The sequence below is a fragment of the Homo sapiens genome, chromosome 6 (assembly GCF_000001405.40).
Source record: "Homo sapiens chromosome 6, GRCh38.p14 Primary Assembly".
Classification (NCBI taxonomy): domain Eukaryota; kingdom Metazoa; phylum Chordata; class Mammalia; order Primates; family Hominidae; genus Homo; species Homo sapiens.
The window spans coordinates 143129025-143153772 of NC_000006.12; the positions used below are offsets into that span (position 1 = coordinate 143129025).

The 24748-nt window shown below is 38.7% G+C and overlaps 1 protein-coding gene and 1 long non-coding RNA gene across 24 annotated transcripts in view; one reads left to right on the forward strand and one right to left on the reverse strand.

Moving 5' to 3' along the window:
- The window catches only part of AIG1 (androgen induced 1), a 284671-nt gene that overhangs the window by 69812 nt on the left and 190111 nt on the right, over nt 1-24748 (forward strand). For 22 of the 23 annotated variants that reach the window (NR_158896.1, NR_158960.1, NM_001286587.2 and 19 more), the window contains one exon: nt 7811-7966. The exons of the other annotated variant lie outside the window; for it this stretch is intronic. Coding sequence is in view for 20 of the 22 variants with exons in the window: in NM_001286587.2 (NP_001273516.1) it covers nt 7811-7966 (156 nt within the window). In the remaining 2 variants the exon portion in view is untranslated. The remainder of the gene's footprint in view (nt 1-7810; nt 7967-24748) is intronic. 23 annotated transcript variants of the gene reach the window in all.
- The window catches only part of LOC124901416 (uncharacterized), a 49698-nt gene that overhangs the window by 13634 nt on the left and 11316 nt on the right, over nt 1-24748 (reverse strand). The window contains exon 2 of the long non-coding RNA XR_007059794.1: nt 6182-6308. This is a non-coding gene — a long non-coding RNA (uncharacterized LOC124901416). The remainder of the gene's footprint in view (nt 1-6181; nt 6309-24748) is intronic.

The following is a 24748-nucleotide window of genomic DNA, read 5'->3' on the forward strand; positions in this document are numbered from 1 at the left end:
CTCATGCCTGTAATCCCAGCATTTTGGGAGGCCGAGGCAGGCAGATCACGAGGTCAAGAGATTGAGACCATCCTGGCTGACATGGTGAAACCCCATTTCTACTAAAAATACAAAAAATTAGGCGGGTGTGGGGGCAGGCACCTGTAGTCCCAGCTATTTGGGAGGCCGAGGCAGGCGAATGGCATGAACCTGGGAGGCGGAGCTTGCAGTGAGCCGAGATCGCACCACTGCACTCCAGCCTGGGCAACATAGTGAGACTCCGTCTCAAAAAAAATAAAAAAAGAAAAAAGAAAATAGGAAAAAATCATTTTGTAGTACCTCCTTTCCCTGACCTCCACGTACACTCTTTGGGGAAGTCTTCTTAGCAGTTCAGGTGAGGTGGGGGCTGTACTATAGTCCCAAGTAGGGGAGAACCAGTAGGGAGGTCTACAAAGAGTGACAGGTAATAGTGAGGGGACTGCTGTGTTAGATGACACCATTGGGTAAGAAGATGAATCAACTGTAGAAAAGTATAAGACTTCATTTGTACATACTGTTAATTATATAAATCTGAGAAAGTGTTGCTTAGACTATTACATTTAGATTTGCAGAAATTATTTTGTTTTTTCGCTCTCCTAGAATTCGAGATTCTGTTTTTCCCTTTTTTTCATGTTAAGCTTCCTTCCTATTCCTATTTCTTTTCTTTTAAGTCTTTATAAAAGCAACTGTTTCACAAGAATTAGTAAATTACTTATTTATACAAAAAATTGTTGAGTAATTTAGTTAAATTAGTTTCTTTTTCCTCTATTTTGAAGGTCTGATATTAGGTACATCTATATTTAAGATCATTATTTCTTCCTGATTAATTGATTTTTTATCATTATGAAATGTTCCTCTATTTTTGGTAATATTCCTTATGTAAATAGACACTTTTTTTTTTTTTTTTTGGACGATGTCTCCCTTGGTCACCAGGCTGGAGTGCAGTGGCATGATCCTGGCTCACTGCGACCTCTGCCTCCTGGGTTCAAGTGATTCTCCTGCCTCAGCCTCCTGAGTAGCTGGGACCACAGGTGTGCACCACCATGCCCAGCTAATTTTTGCACTTTTAATAGAGATGGGGGTTCACCATGTTGGCCAGGATAGTCTTGATCTCTTGACCTCGTGATCCACCCATCTCAGTCTCCCAAAGTGCTGGGATTATAGGTGTGAGCCACCGCGCCCTGCTGATAGATACTTTAAAAAAAATTAAAGTTATCTTTTTATTGAGATGCTGGCTATCCTGAAGTTTGTGAAGTAGGAAAATCTAAGGTCTCACAAAGAAAAATATATCTCTACAGTGTTGCTGACTATGAAGGCTCAAAAGAGAAAAAAGTGTTCCCTACTGTATGCTTAGCTTGCTCTGGAAACCTATTTAATAAAAAGAACTTTTGGGGCCAGGTGTGGTGGCTCACACCTGCAATCCCAGCACTTTGGGAGGCTGAGGCGGGTAGATCACGAGGTCAGGAGTTCGAAACCTGCCAGTCTGGTCAACGTGGTGAGACCCCATCTCTACTAAAAATACAAAAATTAGCTGGGTGTGGTGGTGCGTGCCTGTAATCCTAGCTACTGGGGAGGCTGAGACAGGAGAATCGATTTAACCCAGGGGGCAGAAGTTGCAGTGAACTGAGATCTCACAACTGCACTCCAGCTTGGGAGACAGAGCAAGACTCTGTCTCAAGAAAAATAAAAGAAGTTTTAAATTCAGGGGTACATGTGCAAATTTGTTACACAGGTAAATGTGCATCATTGGGGTTTGTTGTACAGATTGTTTCATCACCCAGGTATTAGCTTGGTACCCATTAGTTATTATTCCTAATCCTCTCCCTCTTCCCACCTCCACCCCTCAATAGACCCCACTGTGTGTTGTTCCCCTCTCTGTGTCCATGTGTTCTCATCATTTAGCTGTCTCAGTTATAAGTGAGAACATGCTGGAAACCTACTTTAATGTTAGTGTAGTTACTTCAGCCTTCTTATGGTTAGCATTTGCATTCATTTACTTTTAACCAACGTTACATTTATACTTACATGCTTTTTTTTGTTTTGGTTTGGTTTTTAAAATCCAGTCTGATAATCCCTGCCTTTGCATTGGAGAGCTTAAACCATTTATATTTAGTGTAATTACAGACATTGTTGGGTTAAGTCTGATATCCTATTTTAGTTTTCTTTTTGTTCCATTTATTCTTTCTTCCTTTCCCCCAATTTTTGACTTTCCTGAATTAATTTAATATTGCTAATATTTCATTTTATTTCCACTATTGGCTTACTAGCTATGGGAGACAAAATTTTTTAAATGGCCCCCAGAGATGTTTCACACTAATGTCAGGAACCTGTGAATATGATGAGATATAATTCCTTTCATTGTGTTATGATATATGGCCTTAAGAAATGAACACTATCCAGGTGGGCTTGATTATATCACATGAGTCTTAAAGGCAGAGAGCTTTTTCAAGCCAATGAGAGATGAGGAAAGCAGAAAGGAAAGTCAGAGATCTGAAGCATAAGAAGGATTCAACATTCTCTTGCTGGCTTTGAAGATGGAAGGGACCATGTACAAGGACTGGAGAACAGACACAAGGAGCCGAGAGTGACCCTAGCCAACAGCCAATAAAGAAACACGAATCTTAGTCTCACAATGTCAAGGGACTGGATTCTACCAACCTGAATGAGCTTGGAAGTAGATCTTTTCTTTTGGCCTCCACGTAAGGGCCTAGCTTGGCCAACACATTAATTTTGGTGTTGTGGTACCCTAACCATAAAACCTAGAGTAACCTTCCTGGGCACCTGACCTACAAGCTGAGGAGTAATATATTGGTGGTGTTTTAGCTGCTAAGTTTGTGGTAACTTGTTATGCAGCAATGGACAACTAATACATTAGCTGATCCCCTCTATTCTTTTGATGGTTGCTCTGTGGTTTACAATATGCATATTTAACTTATCACAGTCTGCTGTCAACTAATATTATACAACTTTATGTGTAATGTAAGAACCTTACAACTATATACCTTCCATTCTTTCTTGTCCTTGGTGCTGTTGTTATTATAAATTTTACTTCTAAATATTCTTAAAACCTCACAAAATAGTTATATTTTTGCTGTAGTTAATTATCGTTAATAAATGTAGAAATTAGAAAAGTAAAAATCTTTTATATTTATTTTCATATCTATATTATCCACATCTATTTTTCAGCAATTGTCATTGATCTGTATAGATTTCCATATGTGATATCATTTCTTCATTCCTCTAATATATCCTTTAGTGAAAGTCTAATGATATTTAATTCTCTCAGTTTCTGTTTATCTGAAAAAGTCTTTCACCTTTGAGAGTTTTTTCTCCATTATAAGACTTAAAAGATATTGTTTCATTGTTTCTTGGCTTGGATCGTTTTACACAAGAAATATGTGTTAATTCTTTTTGTTCTGTATGGTGATATGTTTTTTTTCCCTCCAGTGGCTTTAAAATTTCCATCTTTGTCAAAATTTTATGAAATTTGATTACACTGGGGATTGATACGGTTTTCTTTGTGTGTACTCCACTGTTGAGCTTCTTGGATCTGTGGGTTTATAGTTTTCAGAAAACTTCGAAAAACTTCAGCCATTATTTCTTCAGTTTTTTTTTTTCTACCTGACCTTTGGGTCTCCAATACACATATATTAGACTGCTTGATATTTTCTCACAGTTCACTTAGATTGTTAATATTTAAAGTCTTTCTTCTTTCAGTGATTAATTTTGGAAAGTTTCTTTTCATGTATTCATGTTTTCTATGTATTCAATTTTTAATCTTTTCTTTTTTGGTGTCTAATCTGCTATTATTTCCATACAGTGACTTTTTGATTTCAGATTTTTTTTAACTTTTGAATATTAACTTTGATTCTTTTTAATGTCTTATTTCTCTCGCTATTTTTATGTCTTCCTTTAACTTTTTGAACTGATTTAATTTAGTTATTTAATGCACTTGTCTACCAATTCCAATATTTCTGTTATTTCTACATCTGTTTTTATTGAATGGCTTTTATTTTGGTTAAGGATATTTTTCTACTGCTTGACATGTTCAGTAATTTTTATTGGATGATGGACATTGTGCGCTATGTTGTTGAATGTCTGGAATTTGTTGTCTTCCTTTAAATAAAGTAGAATTTTGTTTTTAATAGGCATTTAAACTACTTGTAGATCAGCTTTTTTTTGTTTGTTTGAGGGCTATTTTTAAGTATTGTTTGGGTGGATCTATGTTAGCCTTTATTCCAGGGCTATGTTAGTGCCACTATTTAGGCATGAGACTTCTTGGGTCTCTACTGAATGCCTGTTGTAGACAATAAGGCCTCTTCTATGTGATTAGTCAGAACTGGAATACATCTCTATCCTGAATGAGCTTTGAGAATTGTTTAGCCTATTGCTTGTAGTAGGTAGACTTCTAAAATGACCCCCAAAGACATTCACCTTTGTGTATTCCCCTCCAATTGAGTTTGGGCAGGATGTGAATATGATTATTCTTGTAACTACATTACTTTATGTGGGAAAAAGGAAAATTTTCTAAGATGGGCTTGATTTCATCTGGTAAGCCCTTTAAAAAGAGATTTATCTGACTGATTGCTGAGTAAAAAGTCCATTATCTGAAAAGCCTGGTTCATATATTTAGTCCAAATGTCTAGTTGTTTATGGTGTGAAGGCAAACCTGGTCCAGTTACTATATCATGGAGTTTTTAGGTGAACAGTTGTAGTGAATTAACTTGTCCTTGGAGGGTATCGCAATAGCTTTAACCAGAACTTTCTTTCTTGGACTTATCCTCCATCATGTTTCCTTGCTTTCCAGGCTGCATAAAACAATTAAGTGGTCTCCAGGTATTTACACTTTATCAGTACCAAGGCAATATTCTACTTCCTCTGCCTATAAACAAAAATCCCACAGAAATTTTACATATAATGCAGTAACTAGGCTTTTTGAGCTTACCAAACCCTATTTTTTAGTCAATCTTTAAAACTAAGGGATATTGAATTAGAAGGGAAGGATTTGAAAGAGGCTAGCCAACTATATTTCAAAAGAATAAAAACCACTCTCTTTAAACTTTTAAGTTATTTGAAAATATTTTACACCAGTGAAATATAGAGAGAATAATACAATCAATTTCAGTATGCCAAATAACCAACTTAAGAAATAAAATATTATTTGTACAGTTGAAGCCCTGTGCAGATAATATTTCCTCCAATCTTATCCTTCTCTCTCTAGAGGTACCTTAATGCAATGTTATTAATTCCCATGCATTTCTTCATGTATTACTTCATATCCCTGCATCCTTAAATTTATCTTTGCATTTTTTTTTGAAATTGATTTTAATTGTCAGAATTCTTTCCTGGTTTCCTTTTTTTTTTTTTTTTTGGTTTAACATTTTGTTGTGAAAATAAAATGTTTATATTGGTTTAGATTTCCATTGTATGAATATAACACCATTATTTATCCAGTCAACTATTAAGAAACATAGTTATTTCAACTTTTTTGAAGCAATGAACACTCAAATTAACCTTTGGTAGATATGACTAGTACACATATATGAGAGTTTCTGCAGGAAATGCCCTTTATAATTATATCACGAAATAAATAGAGTATATGCATCTTTAAGTTACTATAGATGGTCCACAACTCAGAATTTTTGACTTATTATATTTCGACTTTATGCTGGTGTGAAAGTGATCGCATTCAATAGAAACCATACTTTGAGTACTCATGAAGCCATTCTGTTTTTCATGTTCAGCACAATATTTAATAAGTTACATGATATTTTCAACATTTTATCATAAAACAGGCTTTGTGTTAGATGATTTCTCCCAACTGCAGGCTAATGTGTGTGTTCTGAGCACATTTTAGATAGGCTAAGCTAAGCTATGCTATTCTATAGGTCGGGTGTATTAAATGCATTTCCAACTTAAGATATTTTCAGTTTACTATGAGTTTATAGGGACGTAGCTGCATCATAAGTTGAGGAGCATCTGTAGATATTGTCAGTTGTTTTTCAAAGCGGTTGTCCAGATTTGCATTCCTACCATAAGCTTTCTGGTTGTTCTACATCTTTGTAACACTTGGTATTGTAAGAATTAAATTGTAAATAATTACACTGGTGAGAAATGCTACCTCATTGTGGTCTTAGTTTGCATTTCCCTGGTTGTTAGTTACCTTTTTATGTTTACTAGCCAGATTAGCTAGTAATGAAGAATAATGAAGATTATTCTCCTCTGGTAGGGTCACTCCAGTTTAATCAAACTCCATTAGGGCCAACATAGAGATTCAAACATCTAAAGTCCTAGGATATGAAAAATAGAAAGATATGAATAGGAATATATGAAAAATAGAAAATAGAACATTTTTCTAAGTATGAAATTATTCCCTGAGTCATTTAAGTTATTTCTAGTTATCAAAACATGACTCTTGCCAACACTTTTATTGTGTCGTTCTCAATTGTGGCAGTCTTAGCTTCTTTTACTCTGGCTTTTCTGGCTGCAGAAAGAATGACAGTAAACCTTAAGTCACTGAAGCTAAAGACAGGCTACGTTATGAGGAAACAGAACATTACTCTGCCTAAGACTGACTAATAATAGTAAGATTTGATGAACTCCAAAAAGCCTAGGTTAACAATTTCTGTGTTCTAGTGCTATGCTAAGTGATGGAACTAAATACTTTTTAGGATCCTTCTTCCCTTGTGAGGACCCTATCCACAGAGCTTTCACAGACTCTTTCTACTGCCAATGAGGAAATTTACCAAAAAAGGTCCTTGCTATCTTTTCTAAAGAGGCAATGAGTAAAATTGTGTCTTTTACAAAGATATCATCTGTAAACTATTTTCAGTAGGAAAAAAGCCAGAAAAATTTTCCTGAATCTATCCTTGGTGCTAATTGGGTATGACTTTGTGTGCAGGGGATACATTTTCTGCCCTTTCCATAATTTGAATGATCATCTATCTAGCTGCATTACAGTATGCTGCCTGCAGTGTTCTCCTTTGCAATAGTCCAAGTAAATAAAACATAGCTGATCTAAATGCTTCCATTCATAATTGATTTGAGGAATGTATAACCTGTAGTTTTTTTGGGGGGGCGGTTAGAGAAATTGTATGGGTATCTCTGTTTATATTACTTTGGAAATATTTTATTTCATAAATACTAAAAACCTGAGTAGAAGGTCATTTAGTTCAAGTTTGACAACAGAAACTTGTTTCATATCAGCCTTAATTATTACATTCAGTCGATTTTTTTATGACTCAAGGACCCACTTCCTACCACTTCCTTTGATAGAAAAAATATCTAAATGTAAGAGATGAAAGCATAGGAAAGTTTTTCACATTTAGACTGAATTGTCTTGTTATTCAGACAGTCCTCACCCTTTTGTTTTCACTTCTTAGATATTTGTTAAAACTCACTAGTTATATTGACTAGTAGAAACCATAGATGTGATTTAGACATGACATAGAAGAAACCATGACAAACCATAGACATGATGCTTTAAAATAATGGCCCTGCTGGTTTGATCGTTGATACTTCTTTCTGATGGGCCCTATTTAGATGTGTGTGTGCATGCATGTTTTGCACTTGTCCCGAGGTGAGTGAAAATGGAAGTGGTGTTTTAAAGATGAACTTTCTGTATAAAAGCAAGTTGTAAATGTCTGTTCTCTATTTCTAGGAGCAGCTCTTTAAAATATGCTTCTGATCCTTTCTTATTAGATGTCATGTTGTACACCAGCAGCTCATTTGCTGTTCCACAGCTTGGGTCTCCAGATCTTAATGACTCATACCGGCTGTTGTCCCCCTACAGGTTATCCAGGCTGTCTTTTTTGGCATCTGTGTGCTGACTGATCTTTCCAGTCTTCTGACTCGAGGAAGTGGGAACCAGGAGCAAGAGAGGCAGCTCAAGAAGCTCATCTCTCTCCGGGACTGGATGTTAGCTGTGTTGGCCTTTCCTGTTGGGGTTGTGAGTATGATGGAGGATGCATTTAGCCACAAAAGAAACTTGGCTCTTATTTCAGACTTCTAAGAGAAAAAAAAAGAGTTCATTATAAGAGGTTTCTGTATTATTAGTTTGCTGGAGCTGTCAGTACCACAGATGCGGTGGCTTAAACAACAAACATTTATTTTCTCGTAGTTCTGGAGGCTGAAGTCTGAGATGCAGTTGTCCACAGGGTTCGTTTCTTCTGAGGCCTCTCTCCCCTTGGCTTGCAGACAGCGCCTTCTGACTGTGTCTTCACACACTCATCCCTCTGTGCCTGTCTTTGCCTAAACTTCCTATTTTTATAAGGTATAGCAGTCATATTAGATTAGGGCCCCCTAATGACCTCATTCAACCATATATAATCACCTCTTGAGAAACCCAGTCTCCAAATACAGTCACATTGTGAGATTCTGGGGGTTAGGGCTTCCACATATGAATTTTGCAGAGGACACAATTCAGTCTATCAGTTTCTTAAGCAGCCCAAACTTGAAAGGTAGGGTCCTTGGGTCAACCAGGCTTTTGAACTTGGGAGAGGAGATCAGTATTAGCTCATACTTCTTCAGTTACCCAGCTGTGCCATTAGCTACTATCACTGAAGTAAATGCCTCTTAATGTTTGGGTCTGTTTTGACTTCATTGATTTTCATTGTTTTCAGTTAGATTCTCTTCATAACTCAACTTCCTTCACAAGTCTGTTAATTTTCCATTGTCTGCACATAAACCATGTTTTTTTAAAGGCCCTCAGAGACCCTACAGATTTTAACCTCTGTGTAGCCAGGAGAAGAGAACTCATATATATCACAAACTGTAAAGATGAGTAAGAAGTTGTTATTTAATTCAAATTCAGACCTTTCATTTGCCAGCTGATTTCGGGGGAAAACAGAAGTCTCAGTGATGTGGTCTAGCACATGCACCAAGTCCATTGTAGGAAGAATCAGAAAGTTGATCATAAGTCCTTCCAGTGGATTACTCATATTTGTCAGGTTTGTAGCTGGTAGAAGGCCCTACATGCTTGCTTTAAGACCAATTAGTAGACACTCAGATGGTCACTGAATTGCTTTTTCTGTGTGCCAAATTATATTTTCTTGGATGAAATAAATAGCCCTTAACCCTGAGAAAAACACAATGGCCAGAGAGCATTATAATTTGTTGACACTCCTCATTCCCTCATCCTTGTCCTCTGAAAACTTAAATAAATGAGTACTCAGATTGAAGCTAACCAGCAAATCTCTCAGATTCCATTGTTTAGCATAGCAGAGTTTAATGCTTTCCATATTACTTAATATTTCCTTCTTTGGACTTTCCATATAAAATTCAAATACTTTCTATCAGAATAGTCATCTAAGAGAAAATTTCCATTAGCATAAAGCACAAAGATACATACTTTCTGCATAAAAGAATTATCTAGAAAATCTCAGTCTCTCTGTGTGTACATGTATATGCATCTATATCTAATATCTAATATATGCATGTATATTATATATATCATGTATACATTTTTTCTTTTTTAACGTCTACTCCCTTGGAATTTCTATAGCCATGTCATTGCCTGTGGAAGCCTTCGTTGGCTAGAAGGATTACAATAGTAATACAATAAAAAAGTAGGCCAGGCGCAGTGGCTCACGCCTGTAATCCCAGCACTTTGGGAGGCCGAGGCGGGCAGATCATGAGGCCAGGAGATCAAGACCATCCTGGCTAACACAGTGAAACCCCATCTCTACTAAAAATACAAAAAATGAGCCGGGCGTGGTGGTGGGCTCCTTTAGTCCCAGCTACTCAGGAGGCTGATGCAGGAGAATAGCTTGAACCTGGGAGGTGGAGGTTGCAGTGAGCTGAGATCTCACCACTGCATTCCAGCCTGGGCAACAGAGCAAGACTCTGTCTCAAAAAAAAAAAAAAAAAAAGTAAACATGAGTATAGTGTTAACATGTTTTCTCTTAGCTCCCTTCTGTATGTGATATCAAATTATGTCTCTACAGGGAAAATTTTGACTTATGTTGTAAATTTTGCTACTCTCCTCAAAAGCTCATGGCATATGCCCTTTAGACATTTTTGACCTTCCTTTGGGGGAAACTTTTGCACCTGCCTGAAGCTTGAAGTATATGTCAACTCTTGGTGTCTTTCCTAAAGTTATCCCATGTATGTTTCATGGTTTATAAAACAAGTGGTGGCCTTTTTGTTTAGTTATTTGTTTTAGTACATCTGATATTTTCCTCCATCTATCACTGTCTTTGTTGTTTTGCCTATGTTTTAGAAAAAAGAGGAATAAAAGTGCCTTTCATCCCCACCCACCCCATCCCTCTTAAACCAGAAGTCCCAGCATCACACTTTCATGGCGTGTGGGTGCAGCTGTCCTAGTGGCTCTCTGACAGCCCAGCCAGTCCTCATCACTGCGCCAGGGCCTCCCGTGTCACCCAGCACATGGAGGGGATCAGTGCTCTTGAGAATCACAAAAGAAATCAAAGAATAGATAAGGAATCAGAGATGTGTAACTCACTGATGTTTTTAACTCATTTTTTTTTTGCCCATTGATATTTTGTAGTCACTATTTCCATCTTTCATAATCATCCCTGTTACTGTGAGTCACTGTTCCCTTCATAGTTACTAGTCTATTATTTTCCTAAACTTTTAAATGTTCCTTTCAAAGAAAGTGACATTTCTTTCTCTCTTTTCCCCCCTCCTTTCTCTCTCTCCTCTCCTCTGTTTTAAGAAGAATCTAGGTCAGTATTCTCTAGAAATCATCATATGTTTTCTACTGTTTCTGTCTTGCTATGCTATTTGATGTTTTGTATCTATTTATGCAATTTCCACCAGACTTCTCACTCTAATACACAGAAATTCATTTTGAGGCCAAAAAAAGCCTGATAAATTGTTCATTCCCAAATCCCATTAATTTTATTGCAAAGTCATATTTATACAATATATGAATGTGCCTCTTTACAAGTATTTGTATTTGTCTGTTCTCAGACTGCTAATGAAGACATACCCGAGACTTGAGTAATTTATAAAGGAAAGAGGTTTAATTGACTCACAGTTTCACATGGCTGTGGAGGCCTCACAATCATGGGGGAAGCCAAAGGAGGAGCAAAGTCACGTCTTACATGGTGGCAAGAGAGTGTGTTCAGGGGAACTCCCCTTTATAAAGCCATCAGATCTTGTGAGACTTATTCACTATCACGAGAACAGCATGGGAAAAACTCGCCCCCATGATTCAATTACCTCCCACTGGGTCCCTCCCACGACACACAGAGATTATGGGAGCTACAATTCAAGATGAGATTTGCGTGGGGACACAGCCAAACTATATCAGTATTTTAACACAAAATTTTTTTTTCACTAAAACATTTAATTTTGTGATTTTTCGTCTTTCTGTCTCTAATGTTATTTCCCACCTTTCCTTTCCAAGGTGCTCTGTCTTCACCGTGGCTTCAGAGCTTCCCCTGTCCTTTCTGTACCTTTTTCCCTGTTCCCGCAACTGCTCAAAAGGGTCTAGAATCCTGCTGTAGTTTCATTCTTATGACTTAGGACTTTCTTCCTTATTAAAATGCAAACTCTCCCTGGAGCAATGCCACAAGGAATCACATGAAGAAGCATCATTTTTACTTTTTCTGTGCCTCCTGGCCTGGAATGGAAGTGCCAACCTGGACGGTTCATTACATCAGAAGGATGGAAGAGCATTAATGGCCAGGAACTGATGGAAGCAGAATTATGCCTGTAGGAATCTGTAGCATAAAAATGCTTATCATGTGTGCAGATGATTAGTGATAACATTTAGAAGTAAACATCTTCATCACTTTGGTGGACACAGTCAAAATCCTAAGGGGCAGAATTCTTAAGCACCCTCTCTGTGCCAGGGGAGTACCAGACATCCTATAGCTACAGGCGCAGAGCCTCAGCTTTGAGTCCTCCTGCAGTCCCCAGAGGCCTCCCCTGCTCTACCACCCTGACTGCTGGGGCACTGCCAACCTTGCAGAGTGCTTCCCTGGCTATTATCTACTGTCTTTCTTTGCCTACTGCCTTTCTACTTTTTGTCAGTCAGAAGTTGAAAGGGAAAGCAAAGTTATTTTTGCTTCATGGTGCAGGCAAATGGCATCGGGCATAAAAAGAAAGTAAAGAGTGAATGCATTACCTCTGTACAGCTGGATTTATCAACTTTGCACAAGTTTTCCTGAAGAGACCTATTGGCCCCTGAGCTTTTCCTGATGCTCCCATTATCAGTCTCTTTCTTTCTCTCTCACCTCAGCTGAAACCATGGCAGCAAGAAAGACATGGGTGGTTTATCTGGGATTTGTATTTTCTACATTAATGCTTCCTCCAGTAACGAGGTTAATTGAGAGTTGACAGTAATTGCTGTATGTGAGCATGAAGCCCTAAATATGATTTTGTGACCCATGCACCTAGTGCATCCACTTCATGGTCTCTGTTCATCTCAAGGATACATAAAAATCATGAAACATTCCAATCAAAGATAATTGGAGGAAAGTTTTATTTCAGCATAACCTAGAAGAAATCAGGCAGGGTTGCTTGGATGAACATGGCATGTATCATCCTGATTTGTGTAGATTCCCATAAATACGAAGCTGGCCTTGATTAGTAATGCTAATGGCCGGAAACCACCACCACTCCCAAAGCCTTGCAACTAATTTTGCAGGGATAACCCATGGGAGGCTCTTCTTACCATGTGCAGTTTATTTCTGAACCCTGTCACCCTTTTAAAGAAGCATTACAAATAATTCTATGACATTATGTGGTCTGGAAGCACTGAAGTTTATTAGCAGCAATCAGACCAAGAATGTCTTTTGTCTCCTGTGAGTTTGTTGACTTTTGTGTTGGCAGATACCATTATGGCTAAGAGACTAGGCTTAGGCTTTTAACCAAAAAGGGGAGGGGAGGCATGAGAGAAGAGCAGAAACAGCAAATAAATAAATAAATAAAATATATATATATATGAGTTTAATGACTATGAAAGTGCCCCTCTCAGGAATCTTAAATGTGTCTCCAACTGCCTACCAAAGCAGCCGTTTAATGAAAAAGAACAATTATTTATATATTTTATACATTTTAAACTTTCTGTCTTTGTTTTATAGAGGCAGGGTTTCGCCCTGTTGCCCAGGCTGGAATGTAGTGCAATGATATTTCACTGCAGCCTAAACCCCCTGGGTTTAGGGGTCCTCTCACCTCAGTCTCCCAAGTAGCTAGGACTACAGGCATGCACCACTATGCCCTGCTAAGTTAAAAAAATTATTTTGGAGACAGGGGTCCCACTAAATTTCCCAGGCTGGTCTTGAACTCCTGGCCTCAAATGATTCTCCTGCCTCAGCCTCCTGAGTATCCAGATTACAGGGACAAGCTACCATACCCAGCTAATTATACATTTTTTATTCATTCTAGATTGTGCATCCTATTCATTTGTAGCTGCTTAACTTGAATAATGCATGTAATCTAACCTCATAACCTCACCAGTACACTTTTGCCCTGGTGTTGGTTTGGTTGCTCTAGCCCCAGTGCTGGTCTGCTGCATCGCGGTATGAAGATGATAGCCCTTTCTGAGTGGGCCTGAGGAGATCTTGGAGGTTTTGATCAGTTCTAACCTGGGATGGGTGTCCAGGTTATTAGGAGCAAACTGGCATGTGCCTGTATTAACTTTTCGGAAATTTGACCTTCTTATCTGAGTTTAGACTCAAAGCTGTTTGTTAAGTAACTATTTTTAGTGTTATAATCATGTCTTGTAAAGACTTAGTGAAGATTTTATAGGTATCAACCTATTCTAGAATCCTTTAAAACTTGATTTTACTTGTAATGGGACTGTATGGTATCTGCTTCCTTAGGAAACATGGAAAATGGATTTAAAATCTCAAATGCAAACTCAAAGAAAAAGTATATTGCTATTGTTTTAAACAAGTAATTCCCAAAAGTCTTCGTTTGTTGACATAGTAGCTAATTCTAAGCTATCTTTAAGAGGTTTTGAGATGCATATAAATTTAGATAGTCATAAACCTACAACTTAAAAATCGCAGTTTCATTACTGATTTTTAAATGAAAGAGATTGGCTTAAATGGGAAACCAGAAAATTAATATTGATGACTAATATTAAGGTCTGTTAATATAACACATAAAGGAAGAGAATTTGATTCTATTTGAGATTATAAATAAAAGCAAATGTCTTTCCTTCTGTTTTGATATTAAGGGGGAAATTAAAAAAAATAAATTGTTTACCTTATTCCACAAACTCTGGATTCAACTTAAAAATACACATTTTAAAAATGATCATGAGGTCAGGAGATCGAGACCATCCTGGCTAACACAGTGAAACCCCATCTCTACTAAAAAAAAAATACAAAAAATTAGCCGGGCTTGGTGGCGGGTGCCTGTAGTCCTAGCTACTTGGGAAGCTGAGGCAGGAGAATGGCGTGAACCCAGGAGGCGGAGCTTGCAGTGAGCCGAGATCATGCCACCACACTCCAGCCTGGGTGACAGAGCGAGACTTCATCTCAAAAAAAAAAAAAAAAAAAAAAAAAAAAATATATATATATATATATATATATATACACACACACTTAATATCTTCTGATCCTCTCTTTATTAAATTTTCACACAGGTACCTAAAGTCAAGACTTTTCTATTTTCTTTAAGCCTTAACTGATGTTTTAAGTTTCTTTAAATGTCCTTTTCCTTTCTTTTCACCTCTGAAGTTAAAAGTACATCAGCTAGGTCATGTTTTATGGTAGAACCCAGTACACTGCAGGTGGAGTTAATCAAATGCTTGCCCCCTGCACTGAAATAAGAAATGTGAATTGAGTTACCTAAGAAGGAAGGTTTATAGATGAGGATTTATTCAAGATCAATAAGGAAAATGAGCCATGTTTTCCCAATACCAGGAGAAAGACTCAGAAAACTGTAATTACCAAAACTAGGTGAGTGGTCTTACAATTATTTTTTAATAGCTTTTCAAAAGACCAAGGACATCATATGTTTAAATGTATGTACCTGATAAGAAACCAGGTTGCTTCTCAATCATCTCATATATTCTTTTCTCCTAAATGAGAACCAAAGATTTTCTGCTTAGGTGACCTATTTAATTTGCACACATTTATGCTAGCTCAGAGTGGTCAGCTTTTTTGATGCTTCCAAGACAAATTTCTTAAACACAATAGTCACACATTAACAAAATTTCACATAGATGCCCACTTTAAAATATATGACAGGGAAAACCGTGCATTTATATGTAGACTGTTCAAAGGACAGAAGTTCTTGTTAAATCAGTGATTATTTGTGGGACCATGGAGCCTACTGTGTAGCAAGTACTGAGTGCTAAGAGTCAGGATAGTGTTGGCTGAGAATCGATCTGTCCTTCAAAGGTTTCACAGCCTAGGGAGGGTGGCTTTATAAGCTATATCAATAAGTAAATTAAAATAGGGTGTCATGAGTATAATAATACATGTGTTTAAGGTGCAGAGAAGTATCCCCAAAGAGAGAGGGGTTAATTTAAGTGGGTGGGAGGTCCTGAAAGACTTCTCAGAAATAATGACATCTAAGCTCTGTTTGAAGAATGACTAAGAACTTATTGGATGTATAAGTTAATGAGGTATTCAGTTGCAAGTAAGAGAATACCCTCAGAAATCCACCTGGCTCACTCTTTCACTTCATTCAAGTCTGCTCAAATAAGCTCAGCAAAGCTGCTTTGAATGATCTATATGAATTAGCCTCTCATTATTCTCTGTTCCCTTACCTTGCTTTATTTTATCCATGATGATTACCACTACCTGGCATATTATGTTTATTCTTTTATTTGTGTAGTGTCTATCTTCTCTGACTTAGTTCAGACTCTGTGAGACCAGGGAAGTTGTGTGTTTCATTTACTGCTTTATCCCAGCATTAGGAGCAGTGTCTAAATAATTCAATATTAGTTGAGTGTAATCCAGCCAACTATGGTTTAAGTAATAAAGATATTTAATATCTCACAAGACGTGGAGCTTGTTGACAGGCAGTTTCAGGGTGGTATTGCTCAGTATTTTCATATTTTGTAGTTTTTATTGAGATAGGGTCTCACTGTGTTGCCTAGACTGGAGTGCAGTGGCATGATCTCAGCTCACTGCAAACTCCACCTCTCAGGCTCAAGTGATCCTCGCACCTCAGCATCCCGAGTAGCTGGGACCACAGGTGTGTGCCACCATGCGTGGCTAATTTTTGTATTTTTTGTAGACATGGGGTTTCACCATGTTGCCCAGGCTGGTCTCAAACTCCTGAGCTCAAGCGATCCACCACCTTGGCATCCCAAAGTGCTGGGATTCTAAGCATCAACCACCATGCCCAGCCAGTATTTTCATTTGAGACTTGTACATTTTCTATTATCCACGTCTGTCTTCAGAGTATTACCTTTTTGTACTTGGAGTTGCCACCTAAATCCTAAAGAGGGTTATTAAAGCACCAAGCATCACATCCTTCACAACCATGTTCAAGGACAGAAAAGGAAGAAACTCTAGGGAGCCCTCCCCCAGTGTATGTCTCTTCATCAGGTGAAGAGATTATTCCCAGAAGCTCCACCTGCAGATTTCACCATAGGTCTCATTGGTCAGAACCATCACATAGCTAGAACCAGCAGTGTGGGAGCCTGGGAAGGCAAGAAGAGGCAGAAGGAAATGAAGTTACCATGAGGGCTTAAACTAATTATGGTTTATCCTTAGGGGCTGGGCATATTGCTACCCAAACAAAATCAGGAGTTTTAAAAAATGTAATAAGTAACAAATTTAGGGAATAACAATATGTAAAATAAGTAAAAACTAGTAGGATTCTAGGTAATTTATTTTTTATGTTAGTATGAAAAATATATACAGTAAAGTTGATAAGACTAATCATGGACATTTTCTGTTGTAACCAAAAAGATATATTTTTCCCATTCATTCTCTACCAATATCATTTTTAGTACATTCTTACCAGTAGTATCATAAACAACAACTGAAATCTGATATTTGAAGAAGTCCTTCTCAAAGAAAGATTTCTTACACATTTGATGAAATGGTTTAATTTCTAAAGCTCCATATAAAATTTGTCAGAGGTGTCCCTTGCTTTAGACCACAAACTCAAGAGATTCAGACAACGGGTTCAATAAGTAAAATCTTCCTTGAACACCCTTCCCCCTAGAAATTATCATGTCCTATAGATCATTTCACAGAGTTCCTACTCTCTCTGGGGAAAAAAAAATCACAGAAATATCTCACAAAATGAAGATATTTTCTTCCCATAATCATAGTCATAAGTAAAATATGTATTTGAAATTTGAGATCAAAAAAAGGTAGAATTGATTTTCATGAACACTAGACATGTGATTCCTGTCCTCAACAATGTGACCCGCAAAACCAGGATCTTATATATGCCCTTGTTTTGGGGACCAGGGACAAGATGCAATATTCTTGATTTTAAAAGAAAAGAAAAAAAGGATTCACACTTCTTCCTTCCCTGCATATCTCACTCCCCCCTCTTTCCCTCTATCTCCCCAACACCCCCATCTTTCTCTCTCTCTCTCTGCCTCACCCTCTTCTCTCTTTCTCTCTCTACCTTTCTCCTTTCACCTCATCCCTCCGCCCTAAACATTGCTTTCTATGTAGAAAAGGAAACTAACTTATTGGCTGTGTGGGTGATCCTGAAATTACTACTGTCCCTGTGGGTTTTTTGAGGTAACTCTTAACTCCTTTAGCTGGACCAAAGTGTACTGTTACATCAGCTGATAAAAAAGTAATTTCCCTTTAAGGAAGGAACTAGTGGACCTTCCACCTACACAAAATTTACTAACTTAATCGTGCCCATGTGATTACCATTCCAATGATTTGCTTATTTTACCACAAATAGCCAGTCTGGGATAGGACTTTCATTCATTGTACCTTTTTCTAATCCTCTTAGGGAACAAAAGTTAAGGCATAATTCTGGCTATTGGGAAGGTGACGCAGAAAATCAGGTGGGAAGGTGGGAAGATGAGGAGAGGGCAGATGGTGAGGAGAGAGAGTGTAGCCCTGCCAGCCAGCTCACAGTCTCCTAAGCACCCCTGAAGAGCACATTTTCCAGAAGTTTCCCACCAGAGAATGTCCTTTTAGGTTAGGTCTGTACATAGGTAGGCTACGTTGGTACTTGATTTACCCATAGCAACAAATGTATACTAGGAGTTTGAATTGTGTTGGTGAAGCTGTTGCCACGTGAGGAAATTGAAGGAAGCTATGCCGCAGAGGGAGTGAAAGGAGCCCTTAAGCCTTGGTCTGCTTTTGTGCTTTTCTGGATTCTCTGCGACTTTGTTCATTTTTGACCAGAAAAGATTGGAGAGGAATGTGAAATAAGAAAAAATCCTAGACACAAAGGAGTGGCATGCCCAAGTTTACAGGCATGATGGGAGAGGAATTTTGTCACCTTGCCACTTGATCCTAAGGACATCTCCCCTCCCCTTTGTTTCCTTAAAAATCAACTATGAAATAAGAAGACTGCATTGATACACGCACACATAACTCAAAAGAAAGAAGACTCCGCACTCCCTTGGCCAGAGGGTACTGTGAGTATGCCCTGGCCCAGGGGGCGGCTATTACACTAGATAATAAAATTAGCATTGAGTCAACAAAGGAAAATGGCCCCCAGATTCATTAATAAAGCAACGTTTTGGTCTGAATATTCAGAAATGCTACCTGCACCCACCCCATTAGCTCAGAGTTCTGAAGAAGACACCACATACGGAAGCCTCTGCTGTCACCTCTGTTTTAGTTCCTGCCTGTGAATGAGCAGTTCCACTTGCACTTTCTGAGGCTTCTCACCGTAGCCCTTCCCAAGGTGGCAAAACCTACAAACAACCCAAGAGCCTGAAAAATGGAATAATGAGAGTTGACTTTCACTTACATGCTTGCTGTGGGCCAGGCACTGTGCTAAGGGCTATACTGGAACGATTTATTTAATCTTCACATCCCCAGAAGGTAGGAATTTCCATCATTTTACTTCGCAGAAGACTCTTCTGTTTTGCAGTTTTACAGATGGGATTCCCATTTTATAGCTTGCCTGCTTGAGGTCACACAGCAAGTAAATGATGCTGGTAAATCAACCAGGCTTTGAACCCTAACACTCCAACTAACGGAGTGCTTGCTCTTAGCAACCACAGTTATGTGCTGTATAATGACGTTTTCATCAGTGACAGATGACATATACAGCAGTGGTCCCATAAGATTATAAACCTATATTATGGACTGGACATGGCGGCTCACACCTGTAATCCCAGCACTTTGAGAGGCCGAGGCAGGCAGATCACTAGAGCCCAGGAGTTTGACACCAGCCTGGGGAACATAGTGAGATCCCATCTCTACAAAAAAAAAAAAAAAAAAAAAATTAGCTAAGTGTGGTGGCACACGCCTGTAGTCCCAGCTACTTGGGAGGCTGAGCTGGGAGGATCCCTTGAGCCCAGGAGGTGGAGGTTTTAGTGAGCTGAGATGGTGCCACTGCACTCCAGGCTGGGCGATGGAGTGAGACCTTGTCTCAAAAACAGAACAAAAAGCAAAACAACTGTATTAGGGGCCAGATGTGGTGGCTCATGCTTGTAATCTCAGTGCTTTGGGAGGCTGAGATGGGAGGATTGCTTGAAGCCAGGAGTTCAAGACCAGCCTGGGGAACAACCAAACCCTGTTTTTACAAAACATTTAAAAAGTAACCTGCTTGGTAGCATGCTCCTGTAGTCCCTGCTACATGGGAGACTGCAGTAAGACTGATTGCTTGAGCCTAGAGATTCGAGCTGCAGTGAGCTGTGATCACTGCATTCCAGCCTGGGCAACAAGAGCATGACTATGTCTCCAAAAAAAAAAAGAGAGAGAGAGAAAAGAGAAAACCACCAACAACCTGCCTTTACTATGTTTAGGTGTGTTTAAATACACAAATAGTTACAATTGTGTTGCCGTTGCCTGTGGTATTCAGTAGTCTGTAGCTTAGGAGCAATAGGCTACACCATCTATAGAGCCTAGGTATGCAGTAGGCTATACCACCTAGGTTTGTGTAAGTACACTCTATGATGTTTACAGGATGGTAAAATAGCCTAATGACACATTTCTCAGAACCTGTCTCTGTTGTTGAATGATGCGTTACTGTACTCCAAACTTTTTGACAAACCTAACCTAATTTTGCTCTTCATTATATGCCTGATAGACATTTTTATCTATGTACATGAGGCCTGAGCTGACCAAAATTTCTAACTTTGGAGAATGTATCAGAATAAGAGTAGGAGGCTGGGTGCGGTGGCTTACACCTGTAATCCCAGCACTTTGGGAGGCTGAGGCAGGCGGATCACAAGGTCAGGAGATCGAGACCATCCTGGCTAACATGGTGAAACCCCGTCCCTACTAAAAAATACAAAAAATTAGCCAGGCGTGGTGGCGGGTGCCTGTAGTCCCAGCTACTAGGGAGGCTGAGGCAGGAGAATGGTGTGAACCCTGAAGGCGGGGCTTGCAGTGAGCCGAGATCGCGCCACTGCACTCGCACTCTAGGCTGGGAGAGAGAGTGAGACTCTGTCTCAAAAAAAAAAAAAAAAAAAAAAAAAGAAAGAAAATAGGAGTTGTGTAGAATCTGGATCAAAAATAACTGCTTTATCTTTTTCCTTGAGGTGGCTTAACAAAAGACTATATTCATTTGAGCTTCTGTTGTTTCCCTTTGATACACTGTTTCACACTGTAGAGCCAATGGTTTTATACAGTTTTACGGAACAGCTTGCAAAGTGCAAGTTTTGACAAGAAAAGAAAATCTTTCCTGCTTTGTCTTCTCATTTCAAATATTGCATGCAGATTTAAGCTACCACATGTTTACCCAACGTGCTTGTTTCTAATATGTGAAAATAAGGTTGTATCAGTAGAATTAGCTACCTTTAAAAAATTGGTTGCAAAATGTATCCAGTATATCATCTGTGAATCATCCCTGGGCTTCCAAGAAGGCATGGTTTGTAGCTACACAACTGCAAAAAACTTTTTGGCAAGAAGTGATCCAATGCATTCCATAGAAGTAGCAGCATCCTAAAAACTGAATGACACCTACACCGTGAAATATTTTAAAAGAATTCCCAAAACTCTGCTTCATCAAGAGTGAATTTTCAGTCAAATCTGCTTTTCTTTTTAAATTTATAATTGATTCCTCCACCCATTTTAAACAAGGATTTGAGGTGGTGTAAGTCAAATCTGTCACTCAGGCAAACACTCTAGCATCCTGAGCCCTATTGTTCATCAAAGTCCTTCTGTAATTAATCTTGGCTGTTTGGGTAAGTGCCTTCTATATTTTGGTGTAAGAAAGGCAGAGCAACTTTCTTATGCCTTTTATCTTAAAAAGGGATGAAAGTAAGGAAAATGGAAAGAAGCCTTCAATAGACCTTCTGGCAAGTTCTGTTATATATTGAGTGCTAAGTGCCAGTCACTAAGCTAACCACTATCATATGATTTCACTGACTCTGGAAGAGGATCTTACCTAATAAATAAGAGACACTGAGCAACAGGAAGCCACTCATCCCTACAGATTGTGATGTCAGGAAGAAGACTGGGGCCCATTAGGGTGGGAAAACTACTGCCATTGTGGCTGTGGCAGCTGGTTCTTTCTCTGCCTCTGTCCTATCGCAAGAAAATGCCTGCCCTATTAGATCTGGTCAGTAATGTTTGATGAACCACATTTGTGCTTGAAGAGTCTCAAGCAAAAAAAGGGTAGTAAGAGAGGAGAAAGAAAGAAAAGCTCATGGGGGAAAAAAATCACCCACATGAAGTAGATTTACATTGGATCCCCAGGTTCCCTTCACAGATCAGCGTCAAAGCAGATGTTTCTCCCCAATCTTGGCACCTTCCTCAACTGCTGATACTCAAAGTTAATTAGTTTAGTATAACTTTGTGTCTCTTAATTGATGAAAAGTGTTTTTCAACAACAAAAATATCTATAATTGGTCCACAATTCTAGATGGGGCCTAGGCAGTTGACAGGGAATTCAGGTAGACCAAATGCCAAGAAAAAACGCTCTGAAGTGCTCTCAAACAGAAAGATTGCAGACTCGTGGACAGTATATGTCTATCTTTGAGTCATATTGGTTCCAAAGATGACCAATTTTTTTTGCTAACTCCTCCCACTTTATTTATACAGCATAGATCATCATAGGAAAATTTTAAAGGCAAAATACAAAAATCCACACCAATTTCCACAATAAGCACTTATTACCCTTATAATAAGAAAGCCCCACAGAAAGGTATTAGAAAAGCCCTCATACAACTACTCATGTTTGGGAAATAAATCACAATTGTGTTTGTAAGTGTGCTCCCATTTAGAGACATTCATGTTCTAAATGTAAATGGCAAATGGTTCATAGAGAAAAACAAAAAATATTGATATGTTATTGATACAATACCAAGAAACAAATATGCCAGCCTCTCCAAAAGTTCTTTTCCCATTGCAAATTATGTGTATAACTTGCTATATATTTTCCTAGTTTTTAATGTATATAATCTAAAATAAACAAAACACAGAAAGCCATAGCCTTCGTCCTCTCCTAGCCCCATAGCAATTCCAGAGCAGTGAGATAGTCATTTGTGGGTGTCCTAGTGTGCTAGGAAGTCCCGAAATATTCTTGTAGCCCAGGACACTCTGTTTTGTTAGTCTATTTTGAGATAATCCTTCTCTCAGTAAGTGAACTTATGCTAACGAAATGATTATAGACTAAAGATTAAATCAGACAGATAAATAATTTATGTTGTGAAAAAATTATCAGGTGGACTAAAAAATTGTCAGATTGTCCACACTCTCCCTAGAGGCAATAACTGAAGAAGCCAGAAGGGAAGCCGAATTCTGGGTGAACTTGAATTGGATGATACTAGTGGCTAGTAGTCAAATTACTATAATCTGATGAATTCGGTTGCACAGTAGGGATTGACTGGCTTGGTAGACCAGAATGCTTTCTTGGGTGGCCAGAGAACCCTGTCCTGTCTACAAAGCTGGTGATGCATTATTGCTCTTTAATGCCCATACACCTACTCACTATTAAGATCATTTTTCTTCTGTTAACATATCTTTCTTGGGTAGGCTGTATTTCATTTGATTAGCCTTCAGTTTCCACTGTTACAGTAGTATTCTGGTCATAGTATTCTGTTACTCTGCTACTACACCCAAGGCATCAAATAGAGGCATTGACACATAGTCATCTAACATAGGATGCTTCTAAAAAAAGCACGGTTGATTTATTAATTAACTTTTACTAGATTGGATTAAATTAGATTTTTCTTACTTTTATCCTCAGGTAACTGAGATGTGTTTAGCTGGATGTCTCTCCTGTGTACTTATAGCTACCCTTTGAATATTCATATTAATGTAATTTTATCGAATAACTATAGTCCCCTTTTATTTAAAAAATGAGAAAGAAAGACAGCAAGAGTTTGATTATTCAGTGATTTTATGGTGGAGAAAAGGCCCAAATAGTTTTTTTTTTCCAAAAGAAACTTAAATCAATCCTAATTGATAGTGGTTCCCTAACATATTAAAAGGTCTTATGTGAGGTTTATGGATATCTGTTTAATTATTTTATTTATTGTCACTTGACAGAGCGTGAAAGAAGCCTTGCTTTGTTTGTTTGGAGTGGAGTTCAATTCTAAATGGATCTAACTCTGGGCCCATAACAGGAGGGTTAGTTATTAGAATGGTAAAATGTTCACCTTATGGGATGATCTCACCTGTGTGAGGCATAAGACCACCAGATATACAAAAGTTTCCTCCCTCCAGGCCTTATTTTCGCCACACCCTACCCTCTCACAATGCACACCACCTTGCCAACCAGACCCTTCAGACATCACTCTTCACAAAATAAGACTGCCACCACTGGAAGCCAAGCCCAGGCAATTTGGGTTCTGTAGGTGGGAAAGAAAATCAAACCTAATAGCCATCATTCTCATGTTTTGGTCAGTGGCAAAACTGGCCAGATAGAGATGCTGAGGCTGTGAGAAGAGACAGAACTGCAGGCGTATGGCAAGATTGGTGTGGTTTCAGCCTAAAGTCACGGGATGACACAGGGTACAACCTCAGAGACCCCATCTGCAAATCCAGAGCGACAACTGGTCACAGGGATCCATCCATGCAAGCTGGCATTCTGGGGAAGGATTTCCACCTCAAAGATGAAGTGAGAATATGATAGGAGCCTATTAACTAAAATTTGAGTAGGGAAGGAAATGTGCGAGGTACAAGGCAAGACCCAGGTATCAGTTAGGACCAGCAAGTATTCTAAGTCACTGCTACTTCTCTTTCTTATGGATATGAATTTCCTAGAGGGAAGATGTACCTGGTCAAATAATCCTGGTTGAAATGCTTGAGATTTTATTAATGCTTTTTATTTTTATTTTTGAGATGGAGTCTCGCTCTGTCACCCAGGCTGGAGTGCAGTGGTGTGATCTCAGCTCACTGCAAGCTCCACCTCCCGGGTTCAAGTGATTCTCCTGCCTCAGCCTCCCGAGTAGCTGGGACTACAGGTGCCTGCCAGCATGCCTGGCTAATTTTTTTGTATTTTAGTACAGACGGGATTTCACCATATTGGCCAGGCTGGTCTCGAACTCCGTACCTCGTGATCCACCTGCCTCGGCCTCCCAAAGTGCTGGGATTACAGGCGTGAGCCACCGTGCCCAGCTGAGATTTTTTAAATGCATTTATTACTATAAAAGACAAGAATGCTGCTACCCTGTGGCCTTGTGAGGCATGTTCAATCCAGAGGACCAGCTTGATGATTTTTCACCATTCATGACCATTTTCCTTTG